General features: G+C 34.1%; 1 protein-coding gene across 17 annotated transcripts in view; it reads right to left on the bottom strand.

The window, feature by feature from the left end:
* The window catches only part of EPHA6 (EPH receptor A6), a 946,939-nt gene that overhangs the window by 292,217 nt on the left and 633,674 nt on the right, over positions 1-21,048 (bottom strand). For 13 of the 17 annotated variants that reach the window (XR_001740110.2, XM_017006211.2, XM_006713592.4 and 10 more), the window contains one exon: positions 20,586-20,748. Coding sequence is in view for 14 of the 17 variants with exons in the window: in XM_017006211.2 (XP_016861700.1) it covers positions 20,586-20,748 (163 nt within the window). In the remaining 3 variants the exon portion in view is untranslated. Of the gene's footprint in view, positions 1-2,833; positions 2,898-20,585; positions 20,749-21,048 lie in introns of those variants that run through there. The other 4 variants (NM_173655.4, NM_001278300.2, XM_047448009.1 and 1 more) reach the window with 3 other exon arrangements.

The raw sequence follows: 21,048 nt of genomic DNA, 5'->3' as shown, positions 1-21,048 counted from the left end.
AGGCATCTACAAAGAGAGAGTTGAAAATAATTGCACACTGCTAGTCAGACTGATGGAAGAGGTGGAAAAACTGAAAATCTGACACAAGATTCCAAAGTGTACACTAGTCAGGAGCCAGGAGTTTAGGATCAAATAGCCCTACAAAATTCAAGGAGCATCAAATAATTCACTATGTTTTATAACTCGATACCTTCATATGATCATTCGATATTAATTAGAAAATACTGAGATAAGTCCAATATATTTTATTTGAAAGGACAAGAGTTTGGGGATGCATGATTAAAAAACGTTTGCCTCCAAACTATTCTAAAGTTATAAAAATAATACTTCTAAGATTAAACCCTGGCCAAAAACTTAAATTATCAAAATGATTCATTTCCTGAGAGTTTCAGTTTTTTGACTCATCTCTACTACAAGCCTCTTGAGGGCAGAATAATATGTTTCAACTTTCTATATAACAAGGGATTAGTATAAGCCATACATAGTATAGGTATTAATATATGTGTATTGTTTGTGAAAAAGAGATAAAAATCACATTCTAAATATAAGGATAAAATGCCCTTGGCTAAAGAACAGTTTTCTTACTTGATTTGTGTGTCAACAGTAATGCTTAAACACGTTGTAATTTTACATTACATTCCCTTACATATTTGTATTTTGTAAATCAGTATGTACAGAGGTAAATTAATAGAAAATAATGTGGGTAAATTTATTTTTCCTAAATATCCCTGCCTAGGCTTTGAAAAAAAGTAAAAATAGTCAACTTAGTATTATACTGATATCTTTCTTTTACATTCATTCAATATTTGATGCTATCTACTCAAAGGAAAATATATATAAGATTAGAAATAATAATTTATTCAGAAATAAATTAATAGAAAATAATGTGGGTCATTTTTTTTCCTAAATATCCCTGCCTAGGCTTTGAAAAAAAGTAAATATAGTCAACATAGTATTATACTGATATTTTTCTTTTACATTCATTCAATATTTGATGCTATCTACCCAAAGGAAAAGTATCTCTAAGATTAGAAATAAAAGAGAATAGCAAGAGTTTCTTTTTTCCATTCAAGTAAGCTGATTACTGATTTCTCAGCTGAATGGAAACAAACCTCATGGATCATTTCTGTTGAAGCAGAGACCCTTAGCAGGGATCATACTTTTTTTTTTTTTTTCAGAAAGTGATTTCATAGCTGTGCCTTCTTCTACTCCTCTGCCACTTCTCCAGAAACAATACAATTCAGTATATCAAACTGTGGCTACACTGAAACAACAGAGATTTTGAGATTCACTCTTCCTGATGACCTCAATTTACTTGTCAGGTAAAAATGCCAAATGACACAGGAATAATTGGAAAATGTGATTTTGGTACAATTTAATGGAGAAGCAGAAGCAGAGGCAAATAGCGCAGCATAATGAAGTATTTTCTGACTTTTTTTTATTTTAAGAGATTCTTGTGTTCATTAATGAATGGTCAAGATGCCTTACCATAGGTAGCCTTCATATAACAAATTTCAAAGAACAAAGAAAATGATTGAGACATTTAAACACCTGAAACTACGGTCAACATCCTAAATGTCAAAGATGTAATTTGTAATTGTCTGTATTTCATATTGTTACTGGCAGTTGAGATAGGTCTTGAGAACATTTTTCTCAAAGAATATTTACATCTTCATGCATATATCTTTCATCCTTTAAAAAGTCTTTTAAGATCCAGTGTAAAATAGGATTTCCATACAAATTTCACAACATCCCTGGATCACTGACCTGGAACCAATGATGTTCAATTTTAAATACTATTCACCATGTGCCATAATATTAATAGTAGATATTTGCACATTGGTGAGCATATCTATGCACTTGGGGTTATAGCTTCTTAATATAAGTTACTGTGGTTTGAGATAAAGAGCTTTGTAATGAAATGGATAATCATTAGGGATCACAAATTTCATAAGTTGTATGAACTGTATAAACTTAGATTTATTTGGAGTCTATTTTTCATAGAAAAAATATTTAAAGAAAATGATTTTAAAAACAGAATTATTTAGAAAAAAAATCTAAATAATTTCTTGAGGAAATTCTCATTCACCAACTCATTATTCACTCAATAACAACAAAAATACCATTTGCTAAGCACTGTGATATAGAGCTTGGGGAGATGAAGAAAACTGAAGTGTGATTTCCTCATAGCGTTTCTCTTTAGTGAGAGAGATAGAGATGCAGATCATAGTTGTAATACAGAAACATTGGTGCTAGAATGGAGGTATGTGTGAAGGTCACAGGACAAGAGGGGGAGGGTGGTATTCTCCACCGAAAAAATCGTAGGAAGATTATAAAGAAGGTAATTCTTAAACTAAATCTGGAATGATTCGAAGAAATCTGCAAGTCACCAACATGGTAAGTAGATATTGGACACTGTGGCTTGAGGAAACATCACAAATACTACGAAGGTATAAATAGCACAACATCTTCAGGAGTTTATATGTACTTTGAGATGCCTGGGACACATACCAATATGCACAAGAGGAAGTTGGAGAGATAGGCAAGGAAGAGGTCATAATAATTTAAACTGAAACTGACTCCAGTCAGCATGCTTGAGTTTTTCTCAAGTTACTATTAATATTCAGATTCTAGAATAGGGTATATGTAGATGTTAGTTTAATGAAAATTGCCATTTTTACCAGAGACATAAACTCTTGCAAATACATGAGAATACTGAAGACAAACCCATCAGAGAAGAAAACAGAACTGAGACTGAGACATCACTGAAGACATCATTGGAGAGCCTGGATTTGGCCCGACCCTCACACTACCCCTTTGACTTTTCAGTTACCTGAGGCAATAAAGTCCCACTTTTCATTAAGCCAGTACAGTTTTGTCACTTGAAATGGAGAGTCCTATGGAATATAATGAACCAAGAGAAAATAATTAGACTGGATGTAAATGCTGATATGGGGCAGGGCGATGCAGGACTTTATATATCCAAACTAGGTATAGTTACTTCTCATTGTTTATTATGTTGCTTGAGGGGAATGTTTTCTATCTAACCTTACTGTCATCTTTTGATTTTGATGATAAACACAGCCTCCCAAGTCTGTTTGCCCGGTAACTGGATGGATAGGATTGGAAGTGTAGGGTGAAATGGAGTGGAAATGTGCTTACCTTTCTAAAACAACCTTTTTCTACAGAAAGACTAACACATGTGCCAGGAGATATTCCAATTTATTTTTCTTTAATAGATGGATAGTTTTGGGGGGAAATCAGTCCTGTCTGTCCTATATCTAATGGGTCTCATGTATCAATTTAATAAAAATTGCATAGATGCAAAAACAAAAAAAGAAAAAAAAACAAATGGGCAGACAACATTTCTGGCAAGTTTAGCAAGACAGCATGTTAGAATGTGAAATATTTTGCTTAATTGAAACCTATCTAATTATAAACTAATTATCACCAAAATACTGGAGCTAAATTCCTGTGGAAGGCTTTTAGTGAATTTTCACAGTTTATGGTAACATGAATTTGAGGCTACAGTTGTCCTTTATTTGGCATCAGTAGAACTATTTATGGAAGCACGGCTAACCACAATGCCAGGTGCCAATTTTTCTTAGCGTTATGGACCCAAGTATATTTCTTTTAGGACCTGCTATTGCTTTATGCCAAAACTCATTTAACCATCTCCTGAAAGTGAGTAAGTTCTAAGGGAAGCTTTTGGATCATTGTTTGAAGCCTGTTCTGAAGAACACCAAACTATTTACCTCAAACTACCTCTAATCAATCATCAGGATTAATTCTGGAGAGATTCAATGGGAGACTATTCTATTTTAAAAAGGCCAACCCCATGGTAGCACAAAACTATGGCTCCATCAATTTTTTCAGCATCTCTTCAATTATTTACACCCTGCTTCTCCTTAAGCCATGTGTGTGAGGTCTCCAAGTTAAATAATTCGTATTAGCAGCAAGAAGGTTTTTGGCACAGTATTGCCCTACTATTTACTACTATTATTTTGAAGAAAATAAGATTGTTTACTTATGCATATTGATTTTTTCACAAAATTTTGACTTCATTGCCTAGGGAATTGAGTTAAGTAAAAAATGAAGCTTAATATTAGGATCTACAAATGTGGGAGTAAATATCTTTCTAAAACTGAAATGAAAGGGAACATTTCCTGACATACCCATTCACCTTGTCATGTAATATAAAAACCAGTATTGTGTTTTATTTATTAATTTTTAACTAGTATCTTCACAATATGGCACTGATTTTAGACAAACTGGGTATTTGCCATCATGGCAGGTAGAAAGATAAGCATCTTCCTACATGCTGATGATATGGGTGTAATTTTCAACAACTAGAATTAACTTCAGGATACAAATAATTCTGCTATCCTACTGCTGCCAGAAAGAATTGAGCATCACCAACTTTATCAAATTGAAAATCATTTTCTTTGGCAGACAAAAGGCAATTGATCAAAACTTCACACAATGAGACAAGATATTTCCATTTTGTACATGCATATTTTTTCTATAGCTTATCCAGGAAAGCACAGTGCAGAGCTACGCAGTTCAATATAACTTTTTCCATGGGAGCATTACTCCTCGGGTTTCTTTTTGATGACTTGCAACAACACCTGCTTTGAAAAATTTCCAGGCCAGAATCATCTTTTTTCCCAGTATCCTGTGGTGGGGGACTCTGAACTCTCAATCTAGAGTGTATCTAACGGTGGGGGCAGATTCAAATCTGCTTCCTAAGGACAATCTTTGCTTTGCCTGCAGCCCATTTTAGCATAAACATGGAGAGGTTTTATTTTTACTTTTGCAAAAATACTGGTTGGGCTTCTCAACATTTATAGTGGAAGGATTTCTCTATTGCTTCACCATATTTTTGTACCATTTATATCATCTATTGATATGAAAGTAGAAAATTTACATTCTAAGCACTCATTAAAGACCAACCTCAAAATTCTTAGTAAACATCCTCTGAGGTATCTGTTCAGCCCTGTCTCTGAAAACTCCCTCCACCCACAGGGCAGGAGTTTGGAAGACTGTTCTCCCTGTCTCTGGCACCCAGTCATATGCATTGGATTACCGACAGAGACCTGACCCAAACTGGACCAACCACATTCCCTCTTGCAGGAATTTGGGATTAGGATTCACAATCAGTTTGGCAATTTTCATGCATGGTTGACACTAAGGGAAATGTGATTTATAAGCCATAGACATATTTTCCTAAATGAACACAGGTAAAACTAGTCTTTAGAGCACAAAACAGAGATTGGTGGCTGTGTGGATCAGGAATAAAAGCTGTCTTTCCTTTGGAGAATTTTCCAGTTTCTTGTCTCAATCTTTTTTGAAGCCTAGTCTGGGACATTTCTTCATTCCTCTTTGCTTAACCTAGCTCATGGTTTATGTGATATCTGCAATCAAAGGGTCCTATTAGATTATTCTGATTTTAAGTTCCTGGCTAACAGACAAAATTTTTAGAAAATAAATTTAAAAGGTAACTCCTTTCATTTACTTCCTAGGTATAGTTTGTCTTAAAGTCTGTGTGCATGGAATGAATTAAGTAACCTTCCTTTCTCCCATCATGGAAAAATCATCTTCAATCATTGAAACTTTACCTTGGCTCTATCAAAGGTTGTAGTCAGAAAATGTCATTTACAAACAAACAAAAAACTTTTGTATTTGTTGAAAAAGCTGCTTGAGGCCATTTTCCTCAATGGCTTCTATAAATCTTTCTTAGAACATTTGTGCTTCATGAGCGTATGATAACTTTTCTATTCTCTGGCTGCTACTGGAAATTTCAGAGGCAGAGATGGCACATACATGTGCATCTCTAGTAATGATTATGTTCCCTCTTGTGTATATGGACCTAATTTTCTATTTTAGTTCTAACCTATTAAACATTTTGTGCATACATTTTAAACTGCCTCAAATGCTCTTAGGAAGAAGAGAAATGCAGATAAAAAATCACTATTCCTCTGTTTAGTCCTCTGAGAAAGCATCCCTATAAAAATTAAAACCAATTTAGATATGTTATTATATACATGGGGAAAGTCGTGCTACTTACTGCTTAAAAAAGCATTAGGAGATATACCTAATGTAAATGACGAGTTAATGGGTGCAGCACACCAACATGGCACACGTATACATATGTAACGAACCTGCAAGTTGTGCACATGTACCCTAGAACTTAAAGTATAATAATAATTTTTAAAAATTCATCTTTTTTTGTTTAAAACATGAAATTTGGACTATTCTTGTATTTCTCTCATCTCTATTGAGTGACATTAATAACTTAAATTAGTTATATATATGTTTGGGACTATTCTGTTAAACAATAAGTAGTTGTCAAAGATTCACAAGGATTCAAAGGCATTCTGAGCTGCAGCACAGAACGTGACAGAAAAAAGAGGCACGTGCCAAAGGTAATTAGAAAGCCCCAAGTCTTTTTGGTGTGTTCCTACTTGGTGCTCTGTTTGTCTGTCAGATAACTTGGAATAAGTTAGAAAAGAATGGAGTAGCCTTCTTTTCAGTTATTATGCTCAGTAAACAAAATGTGATTTTATTCAAGTTCAAATATTTTCAAAACTGTGTCTATCCAATAATTTGAAAAGTAAAATCCTTCTTCAAGCAAGATATTCTGTGTTTATATTCAAGAAGTGATAACATACCTAATACCTATTCTGAGCCAAAAATATCATTTTCAATATATAGCTAAGCTTGTTTTCGGGTAAGTTGCTTATTTCTGTGCAAGGACATTCATGAGATGACTATTATTTTAATTTTAAAAAATTTGTAGTGGAGTAGGTGGCTATGATACATAAGTCTTCTCATTTCCATTTGAAAACAGAGGAGGATTCCACAGAGGCTGTCCTACAAAAGGTCTTTTGCCAGAATTACATTCTTCTTCTTTTTAATTATTTCCTTTTTTCTTTACGTAGGGGAGTAGCAGCTGATTCACGGCACAGGATGGTCCAAAAAATCATACTGAACTCAGTGGAGTTTCCCTCAGAAGAAGGGTAGTAATTATCATATTAAAAAACATGTTTTATGTGTTCTCCATAGTTTTAAACACATATGTTAACTCATTTAGTCTTCAAAATAATCATAAGAAATGGTAGTATTATTACCTACATTTAATAGATGGAGAAACTGAGGCACAAAAAGGCTAATTAACTTGCACATGGTCACATAGTTAGAAAGGACAGAACCAGAATTTACTTACAGATAGTCCAATTCCTGAGTTCGAGCTTCTAACCACTGTCCTATGTTGTCTGTTTGCACTGAGACATTTGATGTGTTAAGTGTTTAAAAGAAAAGTAGGCCAACTTCTAAGTAATTTGATTACCATAGAAACAGTAGAGAGAGTAGTTCTGGATCTACAAGGTGATATTGCTGGAATGGGCCTAATGGAGGCCCCCTGACTTGCCTGCTGTGCTCACTAAGATTTGGTATCTCAGAAGTCAAAACGTGGAGTTTCTTCAGCTGAGTCAAATTGTCCAGTGCTTAAGCCCTGGGAGGTCAACATACCTTGGGGAATTCCACTCCTCCTTTTATGTCACCTATATAAATTAAACAAAAACTAACACCAAAACTAGCTAACTATCCCTATAGTAAATTCATGGGTATAAAAAATAAAATATCAGGAGAAGAATAAGAAAATGATTTGATTGCTTTTATATGGTATCTATATGCAAGAAGGTAAAGAACATTTTTAAACACTATTTTGAAGCTGTTAGAATGGAATTTAAGATTCAAAGCTAGTAACAATAATATCAGTATTAATAATCATTTATTGAGCTCTAACCACATGATAGCTGGATACTCTTCTGTTGTTAAGTACTTTACATGCATTGAATCACTGTATACTCACAGGAACCTTAGAAAGTAGGTGGTATCCTTATATCCATTTTCCAGATGTGGAAACTGAGGCACAGAGTGGTTAACTGACTTATTCAAAGTCCCATATTTGAGATGTGATCAAGTCAAAATTTAAATCCAAGTTTAAGTAAGTACAAAGCTTGAATTTTTACACAAAATTCCTCTTTGCTAATTCTCTTTTGCAATTTACCTGCAAAATACCTGCCAAATTGAATTGCATGAATCAGTTGCTAACATAAAAAATTTCTTTCTTCTTTCTGCTTGTATAAGTTCTTCCTTTTCTTCAAGACCAAAGTCAGGCCATCCTCCCTGAAGTTTTTGCCAGTTGCCTAGTTTGGAGTAACCGTTAGGATTATGGTGATAGTTAACTTCGAATGATCACGTGTTACTTGTGTCAGATACTGCAGTGAGTACTTTTCTCACATTAGGAGGCAGATACTCCCTATCCTCCTTCTCAGCTTTACTCTGCACCAGAATATCTCTTATTATCTGTCTTAGATGGGGTTTACTGGGACACAGATTCTGCAATGGAGCTTGGCTTGCAGCATGTTTTCTGGGGAGTGACCTCAGCATGAACATGTGGGAGTACAGGAAGCCCATGGAAAGATGCAGCTGTTGACTTGACATGTGGTAGCTGCAAAGACCTCAGCGGACCCCAAGGAGTGCTGGAGCTGGGATGGTCTTCTTCTGGGTTGTCTTTAATTGACACAATGGGCATGGGTCTTTGTACATCACATTGAGGAATCTTGGATTCTGACTGTCCCCAGGAAGAGGGGCATGTAGCTTCTTTTGGCCAGGGGCAATGTCTGCAGCTATGAGCCTTCAACTATGAGCTTTCAGCAGGCAGAACTCCCACTAGTTGGGTCCTGAAGGGGAAATCTAGGCAACACACCACATCTCTGCATATAAAATGTTTTGCTTATTGTTTGTTTATTGTCTTTCTCATCTCTCTAGAATATAAGCTCCAGGACAGCAGGGATTTTTGTCTATTTCTGCTATAGCCTGAGTATGTACAGAATGGGATCTCAAGAATATTTTTGAATGAATGACTCTACATACAAATGAATAAATTTCTAGTTTTCCCATGAGGAAACCAAAACATAAATCAACTACATTGCCATCCTTAGGTCCCAATACCTGGAGAGTTTCACATTTTTAGAGCAAAGGAAGATAATATAGCATGTTTGCTTTATTTCATTTATGGTTCTAAAGAGGAGAATCCTCATGAGCCAAGAAACCAAGTCCTATGATGCCTAATTGAATGTAGCATTTCTTCTTTCACCAATTAGAATGTACCTCTATGTTACTGAGCCTGAGACAAATGCCTTTGCATGGCATGTCAGTTTTGGTGTCCAACTTTCCTTTGCTAACATATCACCATTACCCCTAAGCTATCTAAATTCACTAAGTTTCCCAGATAACTTAATGTCTAGATTTTCTTGGAAGGTTTGACTTGGGATGGCTTAGCTCCAGTTTTCTCAGAAGGTTCTGGTGAGCAGGTCATAATTTACTGCATCTTCAGAAAGTTCACAGACCAAATATGAACTGTCAGAGAGACATATGCAGGCTTAAATGCTGGCAGAGAGCAAGCATGTATTAGAATTTAAATTGATGATTCCCAAGGTTCTAGCACCTTCAGTAGGTGAATTTTTTAAGGCTAAAATCGTCTCTAGGGAATTTGGAAGTTATGAGAGCTATAGGAGTGTCAATGAAAAAAGATATTTGGAAGGTTTTATTTTTAGTGTGGTAAAATGAAGGTGAGGAAATAATTAGATGTGTTCGCAGTGGTTTCAGGGAAGTCAGTTACGGGAAGCTCACTGCTGTGACTGGATTGCCTGTCTCCAAAACTACATACAGCTGGAAGAAAAATAAAAACCTAGGAAATTTGAGCCTCAGTAGCAAGGTAAGGATGGCATTGCATGGTCCTCACTAGCCACATATCTTGTGTTTCTTGTACTGAGATCATCATCCCCACCATTCCTTGCTGCCAGTGTTGTGCTATTTGAGGATGACATTGGTTCTCTAACCAAAGCTTGCAGCCGAATAACCCAGAGGGCTTGTCAACACAGAATGCTGGGTCCCACCCCCAGAGTTTCTGATTTAGTGGGTCTAGTGGGAGGTCTGAAAAATGTGCATTTCTGGTGGGTTCCCAGGTGTTGCTGATGCCTTTGGCACAGGGCTCACTTTTGGAAAAGCACAGTTCTAGCTATACTGACATTCTTCCAGTTACTAGAAAGCTCCATGCTCTCTTTGATCTCTACACTTGCACAGATACTGTTCTGTCTAAAAAGAGCAAAAGCTCCCCAATTCCCTCATCTGGTCCCTCAACCCTCACTGCACCCCTACTTTCACGGCCAAGTTTGACTTAACCTTCAAGTTTCCTTTAAGACGTTACCTTTTGGCAGCTTTCCTTGACACATTTGTTTGCATTTTTCTCCTTGTGCTCCCTTATACAATACATATTGCCTTCTACTGGAATCTTGTTTAATATTCTGAACTTCTCACTAGCTGTTGTGAAAGCAGGGAACTGGTTTATCCTTTTTTGTTTTTGAATTCCTAGTGCCTACATCTATATCTGGCCCATTTATTAATATGTTTTGATTGAGTAAATGGGTGAATGAACAAGTTGAACAATTAAACATTCTTCTGCTTGCTTTAGCTTTTACTGCTTCCTCTCAAGCGCCCTTCTCTTTCTCCTTCATGTTAAATTTAACACAAACTATATCAAATTTTAAAACAAATCATTTTTACTTCCAAGGGTAACAACTTATGTAACAATATTTAAAATAATGATAATTTCATTCCTTTATCTCAAAATGGGAATAGGAAGTGTATATGAATGTGGAATATATGTATTATATATATGAATGTGTGTATATATGTACATATATATACACACACTTACGTGTGATAAATTCAGTAAGTAATATTGCCATGTTTATTGTTGATGGAATTGCCAAAATTATTTGTTGACAAAGTTATTTAGTCTGCTCACTGATTATGCATCCAGCAAATATAAGATAACTAATTTAAAAAAACTATAGTGCAAGAGAATTTTTAAATGAATGCTGTTTTCCAGAAGCATAAGAGAATATGAAATTCAGTTTGATGTGAATCAGCTATTTTATATCTAGCAGTAAGATTGCCGTATTCTGCTCCTTTGCCTATCTTTATAGTACAGTAATGTGCTCACACATGTCATGCTTGGGTTTCTGCACACACAGCTAAATCTTTTAAGCGCTCCTGCAATTTTGCCAAGAATTCTTGTTACTCAATTTAAATTTCAAGGGAACTACTGTTTCCCTTGAAAAAGTAAAGTGTAACATGAATACTTAAGCTGCTTTTTTTTTTTTTTTTTTTTTTTTTTGAGACGGAGTCTCGCACTGTCGCCCAGGCTGGAGTGCAGTGGCGCGATCTCGGCTCACTGCAAGCTCCGCCTCCCGGGTTCACGCCATTCTCCTGCCTCAGCCTCCCTAGTAGCTGGGACTACTGGCGCCCGCTACCACGCCTGGCTAATTTTTTTGTATTTTTAGTAGAGAGGGGGGTTTCACCATGTTAGCCAGGATGGTCTCGATCTCCTGACCTCGTGATCCGCCCCCCTCGGCCTTCCAAAGTGCTGGGATTACAGGCATGAGCCACCGCGCCCGGCCATTAAGCTGCTTCTTAATTCTTCATACAGGACTTTGTGGAACTGGCTGGGTTTATTTTATAAACATTTGTCCATTCAGTATTGTGACTTTATGGTGAAAAAAGCACAAACAGCTGTTTTGCATTGGGCTAATACAAATTGAGAAGATGTTACATTAGATAATTTTAAATGATTTTTATTGAAGAGTGGCACCATGCAAATTAAATTCTTTCAAACGATGTTTTTATATTTTGACATAAACATATAATATTTAATATTCATATATTTTATATGAAATACTTTTAACCTGACTTGGACATTTTTACAACTCTTTCATTCAATTCTCAGATTTTTTTTCAGCTCTGAAAAATAACGGATTACCATGTGGATAGAATTTGACCAGGACATAAAATTAAAACAGAAACCAAAACCCCATGCTATGTCATCCTTCCAGTCTGTGACTTCCCAAAGGCCAACTTCGTCTCAGCATCATGTGTTTCTACCCTTTCCCCGTAAGAACCACATTTATATATCATCGCTATGATACTCTACAACCAGCTAGAGCTCTCCTAATGCTTTAAAACATCATTCTATCGGTACTTGCTGAACAACACAATACTTGTATTCCCTACTTGAGCTTAGTGCATGACCATGCAACAGATGAGGGTGAGAGGTCAGCCACAATTAAGAATCATTCCAACAGTTCTCAATAGGCCTCCATACTGTTATTAATATAATGAGAAATTAGGTTTTCTTCACTTTGCCCTTGATGTTTTTCTAACAACTAAAATACGACTTTTGAAAAGCCATATCAAAATACAAGTCAATAAAGCTGATTTGTGTAGTCTGAAGAATGGCTCTAACTCTTCAAGTGTTACATAGAGAATATATTTTTCACTAAATTTGGGGCAATTTGAAATACCTAAGGAACATTTTTGCTCTCTTTAAGAATTCAAGGTTGTAAAGTCAAATAGCTTGAAAGAAAAATTCAAGCAATTTATATGATGGCTGATAGAAAAAAAAATCCATCTCAAATCAAGTCAAATTAAAATCAGACTTTGGGAATGACATAAATCAGGAACTCTCTTATCTCTAGTGTGGGTTAGTGATAAGCTTCCTGAGGACAGAGACCATATATTATCTCCTTTGTTTCCTTAGCATTCAGCAGATTGCTTGTTATTAATATATGTACAAAATAAACAAAAATAAAATACTAAAAATATATAAGTAGACTAATAAAATACATGTGTTTGAAGCAATATTGAGTATTTATAAATACTGAGTATTGTGTATTTATTGGATAATATTAATTCATATGAAATTCATTGAGTGCCTTCTACTTGCCAGGTGCATGCAAAGCAATATAAGAGGTATAAAAATGAGAAAGAAATGGGGAAATATTAGTCAAAGACTACAAGTCTTCAGTTATAAGATGAATAAGTTCTAAGAATCTGATATACAGCATGGTGACTATAGTTAATAACACTGTAGTGCCTACCTCAAATTTGCTAAGAGAACAAATTCACACAGCATACACAAATGAGAATCTTTTAAAAAAAGAAACAAAAGAAATGTTCCCTGATCTTGTAAAAACTTCCAGTCAAGGGATGATGGTTTATATACCAAAGAAATAATATTTTACATATGTTGCTATATGTTATTGCCTTAAAAATAAGCTTACTTTCTGTATTAAGAAATAGATCTACTGTTGTTACTTTTCTTTTAAATATGAGCCACGCTGTAACACTGCCCTTTGATACGCACATTTTACAACATCTAAGTACCTGTTAATAGTTAATGATTTTCTTTCCAGCCCATTTAGCAAAGTTATGATCTTTAATATTTTTCATATTAAGGTCTTCAATCTGTCTTATGGTACATAAGCCTGGTTCCCATCATTTAAAATCCTTATTTGATCTAGGCATAATTGAAATAAAATATCTTTTTTTTTTTTGTCAATTCAGTCTCTCTTGAAGGGCGACTTCTACTTTCTGTGCAAATAGTTACTCTTCATCAAGACCCTGCATATTTAAGTAAATCACACTAACTGCATTATTTTGCCTCTTTGGAGTGTTATACTTGGTCTACCATGTGTACATTAATCCAGAAATATGCATTAAAACACTGCACAGCTCTGTGAACTTGATGCACTGAGATTTATAAATAGTCTTCTGAAAATCCGCTTATATTCAAAGACATTATGCTAAGGCAAAATATAAGTAATTAAGGGAGGGTGACGAATTGGAGGTAATAATAAAAAATAGTCATGTAGAAAATTATAAATAATGACTAAGGTGAAAAAGAAAAGTGAAAGTACTGAATGGGTAGAAAGGGAACTCAATTTTGGTTCTAAGCATTAGTATGAAAAGGGCCTAATGCCATAATAACCCCATTCCAATGCTTACTACCTGTGGGTACTGTTAAGTTACTATACTTCATTATGCTTTACTTTCTTGATCTGTAAAATTGGCATAATAGTATCTTCTGCAAAGGCTATACATGTTTTGGTAACCAGAAAAGATTTTAAAAAAGTGATTGGAACATAATTAGAACTCACAAATATGTTGTTATGAAATCTCAATGTTTGAACTTACGTTAAACTTGTATCACAACCTCCTAAATAAAGCAGGGATTTCTTTTACCACATGCTAAACAGGTTCCCAATTAGCTTCAGCACAAATTCTTATTATGAGGGGCCTTCGCTACCTTATAGGACAGGCCACTTTATATTCAGACAACCTAACTGCTAGAAAATTCCTCTTTCCCACTGATGTTTGCATTTAGATGGCTATGGCTGCCAATGTTGAAAGTGTGCTATTGACTGGAGATTACTTTAAATTAAAGTCTTATATACTGGAATTTGTCCTCCTCTGGGTAGACTCATAAATATGAAATCTGCCTCCTGCTTGATTAATTAACTTTATTACTCCACCAGGGTCAGCTGGTCCTCTTTCTGCTTCATGTGCTACCATTAATAATCATTCCAAAATTTCTAGCTGGTGTTAATAATGATGTGGCTAATTTCATCCTAAGTAATTGAAGCAGTACAGATTGTGCTTCAACCAACAGACTGGATCAAACATAATGGAGGTTTTTAAAAAAGAGTTTAGGGAAGAAAATGTGTTAACAACAAAATCGTCATTTTACCCTACCTAAAATGTGCCCCCAAATTTAGAATTAACAATTAATTTGTAGTAAAACTTGCATATATTATGTTTTTACATGACTCAAGCCAGTTATAGCTTGTTACCCAAAATAAAGCAAGCAATATTGCTTATCTATGGCAAATAAAATTATCTGATTCTTTCTTTTTGAACTGGTAGGCAACATACTATTCTTTAGTATTTTAATATTAATATTTAGTATTTTAGTATTTCTTTTTCTTTTTGACCTGGTAGGCAACATACCATTCTTTAGTATTTTTGTAAATCATATTTTCTTTATTTATTTGATTACATGTATATTGGAACCTAACTATGTGTAAAACACTTTCTGAGACAAACAGATATACAGACTATAGTTCTTTATCTCAATGAGTTTACAACTTAGTAAAGAATTACGCCTTTGAACAATAAAATATTTAGAAATTCCAAGGAAGAAGTGATGATTTCTCACTGGCAAGAACATTTCAGGAAAGTGGCATGGAAGCTAGAGTGATCATTTGTAATGTGATCATTTTCTGAATATTCCAGTTGGAAGTCATAGAAGAATCTTAGATATGATGAAGATACAGATTATTTTGTTCATGAAGCATCCAAATAATCTAATTTTTCCAGAGAATACCTTAATTTGCAGAAATCGATAGAAATGATATCAATTTGGATTACATTTAGAGGGGACCTAATATCTTGCTGAGAAATTCACATTCTATTCAATACAACATATGCAATGATTTAGAACTTTTAAGTGTGCAAATGGAATTTAGAAAAATTCATCAAATGGGGACATAAAAATGTATTGGGAGGAAGAAACCGAAACATAATCTTGCATCTTATTTTTTAGGATAATTTCCTACCTATAAATGGTTAAAACAAACCAAATTTCTTACATATCAACCATACAAAAACAGCTAAATCTTATGGATATTTTCAAAATAATTAAGTGGTTACATTTATTCATTTGTATCTACATACCACTTTTTGTAAAAATATATAAGGCACGACATAAGATTTTATTTTGAAATACCCACTATAATGTAGTTATTTACAGTTTGGTTTGTTAATGTTGATTATAATGATTTTTATATGATTATTTTATGTGCTATAAATTTAGTCCATCATTACTACTTTTGGTAAATAATACATTTTAAAATGCTGACAGATGTGGCTTTTGTGCTACAAAACTGATTTATGCAGCCTACAGGTGAAAACTTAAATTTACGTGTTGTTAAAATGTAAGCTGTAATTAATCTTTTCAGAAAAGAGGAATGCATTGCTTATATGTTGGCAATGTATTAATTCTTGTGGGTCATTTAGATAATTATTAAGGCAATGGAAGAGGTAAATTGCCAATTACTACATGTAAAATTCCAATTTTCTTTCAAAAATTGGCTTTAAGCTATGGATTCTGTTCCCTTTTGATAGCTCACAAGCTATTTTTTCAGTATTTAAGCAGAAGGTTCAAGCTGGCTACAATCTAGCAGAATACATTTTATTTTGGTTTTAAAACTGCACATGCAAAATTACTTACTGCTACTATATATATGGAATTTAATGTTATATAAATCTTGCTAGTGCTTTAAATAAAAACAAAAATTTTATTTCCTTATCTTTATTTTATTACTTTTTAAAATGTGTAAGTGTAATTTAACAGGATTATTGTTAAAATGTATCAAATATGTTTTTTCCAAGCAATTTATAAGTTATGGCTAATATTACTGGTGATGTCAACAATTTTTTATTTTGATTCTCATTTTTTTCTGCAGTGAAAGGCCCAGAAAATAAGCTCAGAAATAATAATAAATTTGAGCAGTTAAAATTTCCTATTATAGCTGTATAAGCCAAAAAGGACTGTATTTGACCAGTGTGTGTGTGTGTGGATATGTGTTATGGTTAATGCTTTGGGGCATAATATAGATTTTATTTTAATCTTGAGAAAATTTTTACTAGCTTCTAACACCTAATTTCCAACTATCTCCCAAGAAAATCCATATGAAGTATTTTTATATTCTTACTTTCTTACTACTGATTCTGTAATTTTATTGCAGTTTTGATAAATCTATTCTAAAGAAGGAAGGGGGCAATCAAGTACAGTACCTAATAATAAGGCCAGTACACAGTAGGCACTCAATAAATGCTGTTAGTGGACATAATATTAACTGTACACTTAGCCCAGCGAGAAATCAGAAAATACATAAAATGCGAACATTAAAATACAAGGAAATAATTTTCTGATTATATATGAGTGAATATCTTCAGTCAATTTGATCCATCTATCAATCTGTCTATATCTCTACCTCCACATACATATATGCAATAAGGTTGTTTTATAGATTTCGGTAGAGGGGAAACCAATAGCTCCAGTTCAAGTAGATTCATTTTATGATGCTAACAGTGATAATTAGTAATCTTAGCATTTGTCAGCCAGTTAGAGAATCTCCACTAGCATATTTTGATATTGAAAAAGAACCAAGCACTGGTCTCTAAGTGCAAGAGGGTCGCCATAATTTTTCTTCAGATGCCACTATGTTTATAGCACAAGTAGCCAGTCAAGAACATTATGATTTTCAAAAGGAATTATTTCATAATTATGTTATTGCCTTGGTCATTAGCAAAGTCAAAGTTGAACAAAGTAAAATAGTATGGCTAAAAAGAACTGAATTATAAACTACTTAATTTTGCTTACTTTAAAAAATTTGAACCAGATCATCAAATGAGATCACTCCTTTCCAACCCATACCTCATCTCTATGAATGTATTATAAAGTTAGTCAATTAAGTGGAATACACAAGAGAGAACTTAATAATAAGGCTGACATTACAATAATTCAGGCACTACTTGAGAAACAAAGGCTATAAAATTTAAAGAAGAGCCAGGAGGGTACGGAGAGAAAAAGATGGATGCCGTCAATTGGGATTCACATCATCATATCCTTGAATTTATGGGAAACCTATCCATATGCTACTATGGCATTATTCATTGAAATTCTCTCCTGGGTATAAACAGCAGGCTTTGAAAATGCTATTTAAAGCTAACCAGTTTTTTTTTTTTTTTTTAATGATCCTTTAAATGAATTTCCCTTAGACTGTAAATTGACTTAGGAGCCATTCTATGTTCTCAAACATCAGGTTTACACAAATATATTATTTTCAGGTTCTTCTCAGACATTTTATCTCTTCAAGGTTTTAATCAAAGTCATTTTCGCGGCATTCCTGAATCAGTAATTCAGAACATAGTTTTCACCATCTTCTGCTGCCATTGTCAGATAGTTCTAGGGTTCTAAACTTGCACCCCCAATCACTAGGTATCAGATTCTGGTAAAGTTATACAAGTTTCTAAAATGAGGCATAATCTTGTCAGAATTAAATGAGGTAATATGTGTAAATTGCTCAGCATAGGGTCTTGCATGTATTACTAGTCATGTTAATCCAGGATTCGAATTCACCAATGGATCCTGAATATTTTCTGGATACATGCAAATATCCTTAATATGGCTAAAAAGTGCTCTTGGTTTGGCCCCTGTGTAACTCTCCACCTTCATCTACCACCATTTTACAATTTTCATCTCCTCACCACAGCCACACCAAGTTATTTGCGCTTTAAATTTTTTATGTTGTTAGAGGCCTTTATGCTTTTTCTGTTCCATGACTATTCTTCTTTCAAGAAAGAACCCCAGCCTCTCACCCTCCAGAAACCTTTCACCACCCATGTGTGCTGAAGTAGTAGTCATCTTCACTATGCTGCCACCATATCCTTTGTATATCTTTATGATAGTACACGTCACTAATCTTGTATTTTTGATTTAAACTTTTTATTTTCCTCACAGAAATACAGACTGAAACTTGTTTGAAGGCATAGGCTATTAGCTCTTATTATTATTTTTTATCCCCAGAGGCTCATATGAGTATGGCACATATTAAATATTCTATACATGTCGGTTGAATGAGTGAATTGTACTGAGTTACTTGTGAGTACAAAACCTTTCTTTTTATTCTACATAACATCTGAAGAAATTGTCTTGAAAGTACAATGAGTTGAAATCTAATGTTAAAACCAAATCAAACTGTTAATATTTAAATCAGAATTTTTGTTAATATTACACCAAATGACCTTCTCTAGAAGTCCCAAATGAACACAAATGACTTATTTAGATGTAGCTCTATGAGTTTATCTGAGAGTGCATTTCTCACTTAAAAATGCAATACTCAACAATGTCAAACTTTAAAAGTCAGGTGAATTTTTTAAATCTGTGAAATAAAGTAAGAGAAGTGCAAAAGCTATTAACTTTTCCAGGCTGTGAAAAGAAACACAGCCTAAAAAAGACAATAATTCGACAATCTTGGACCAAACTTTCCTTGGACTGTATCCTTAGCTTTATACCTAGGCTAAGGTTTGACAAGCGGGCAGGGGAAAAAAAGTGAAAAAGACATAACAGGGACAAATCTTTTGATATTTTTATATGGATTTTATTGTGGATCTATGTTTTGTGATCATAATACTCTACTCCTAATAATTTTCTCTCTAGCTTAAAAAGTCAATAGTCTCCACCAGAAATTTAAATGACTATTACTGATATAAATACTCAGGCCACAAGTATTCTTTTTATTAATTAGTTTACTCATTCTCCCTAAGGTGGGGTATTTCTTACTTAAATACATCAGCACTTTCTCCCTTTGTAGTTAGATATAATTGTAACAAAGAAGTTCTTACATGTGAATACTGTTCATCAATGTAAAAACAACAAAATATTCCTTCTGTCATAGAATCTGAAACCCAAGTAGCTTCATTTTGAGGGAGTGATAAACTGAAAAACTATGACCTATTTTATGATCTTACAAAAAACACTTCATAATAATACAAATGATAAGATTTAGTAGGATGGTGGAGTAGCTAACAGCATAGGCCTTTCAATAAAACACGCTTCCATTTCAAATTTTAGCTTAGCTTCTTACTAGTTGCTTAAATTTGGGCAAATTGTTCAACTCCTTTAGGTTTCTATTTTCTTATAGGTAAAATTACAAAAATAATACTTGTTTCACTGGATGTTGAAAGGTTTGAATGAACAATTCCATGTAAAATATTTAATGTCATTTTAGGCATTTTTAGGGTCTCAATAAATGCTTGCTATTATTATTGTTATCCATAAGGAATTACTATAATAAATTTACTTTTATTGAATTATTATATTAATACAGTATGTTAACAATGATGGAAACAGATTTTTCTTATATATTTGACCACTTTTTCATAAAGATGTCTGGCAAAAGCAATCCCTACTATTCTCACAAAGAGAGCAGTAAGATGGATTTCTGAAGGCCAAAAAGAGTTCATTGGTAAAGCTGGGTTTAGAATGAATAAAAGACCTCAAAGCTGATGTTACATGACATTGGAATATCTCACTCCCTTCATCTCCCATTTTGGTTTTCAGCATGTTGAGGTCCCGGAATTAATGTGGGTTTCTGATGAAGCCCATGCATCTGTATTTAAACCTATAATGTGCATGTCAGTGGTGTTCATCTCCTGACCACTATTTTTATTGACTGAGATAAAAGGCCAAAGCTGCACAATTCTGAATTGCTTAAACCATTTGTTCACGGCTTTATTCTCTCCCAAGTTTTCATTAGGATCATATCATGATGCCAGGACTGGTGAACTATTAGGCATCCACAGAGACTCTGTGTAATAGCATAAAGGGCCACATTTTGGCCACATTACTTTTATGGTAGAGTAAGGCATTTCATGAAAGCATTTAATGATAGCAACAAATATTAACTGAAATGACTGTATGAGTATTTACATGAACAAAATCTCATTTAAACAAGCTATTAAAAACTTGGGACACCTGGTTTTAAAATATCAGGTCAAATTGGAATGATACTAAATTCACATCTTATGTTATATCCTTGTGTGAAACTTACTTTCATCTCCTGTTTCAAATTCAAATTTCTGACTGTAGCCACTGTATCCTGTCGCAGTTCTCACTCGGATGTGAAATACATATTTGGTGGCTGGCTTAAGACCTGTGATGATGACACTGGGGGCTTTGGACCTTGTGGAAGAGTAGGTCAGCTGCTCATGTTCCTGGGGGACAGAAAAAAAGGAGAAAGGAAATGAAACAGAGTTATTCTACCTTTTCCTAGAAACATTCCAAAGTTTAACTGAGAAATTATGCTCTGAATACCAAAAGTATTGATTACAAAGTAGTGTTAGCATGGTTTTCCATAATTTGGCATTTAGCTGTTTATCATAATGATGCATATGATATGGTCCTATTTGGAAATTTATTAAGAAAGATGATTAGTCTTATATAAACTGCACTTGTATTTTTGGTGATTTAGATTCCTGACCCAACTGTAAGAAATGATGGTGGTGTGAGAATAT

The sequence above is a fragment of the Homo sapiens genome, chromosome 3, assembly GCF_000001405.40.
Source record: "Homo sapiens chromosome 3, GRCh38.p14 Primary Assembly".
In the NCBI taxonomy this organism is placed as follows: domain Eukaryota; kingdom Metazoa; phylum Chordata; class Mammalia; order Primates; family Hominidae; genus Homo; species Homo sapiens.
The sequence above is the reverse complement of the archived record's forward strand: the minus strand, read 5'-3'. Positions and strand labels throughout refer to the sequence as shown.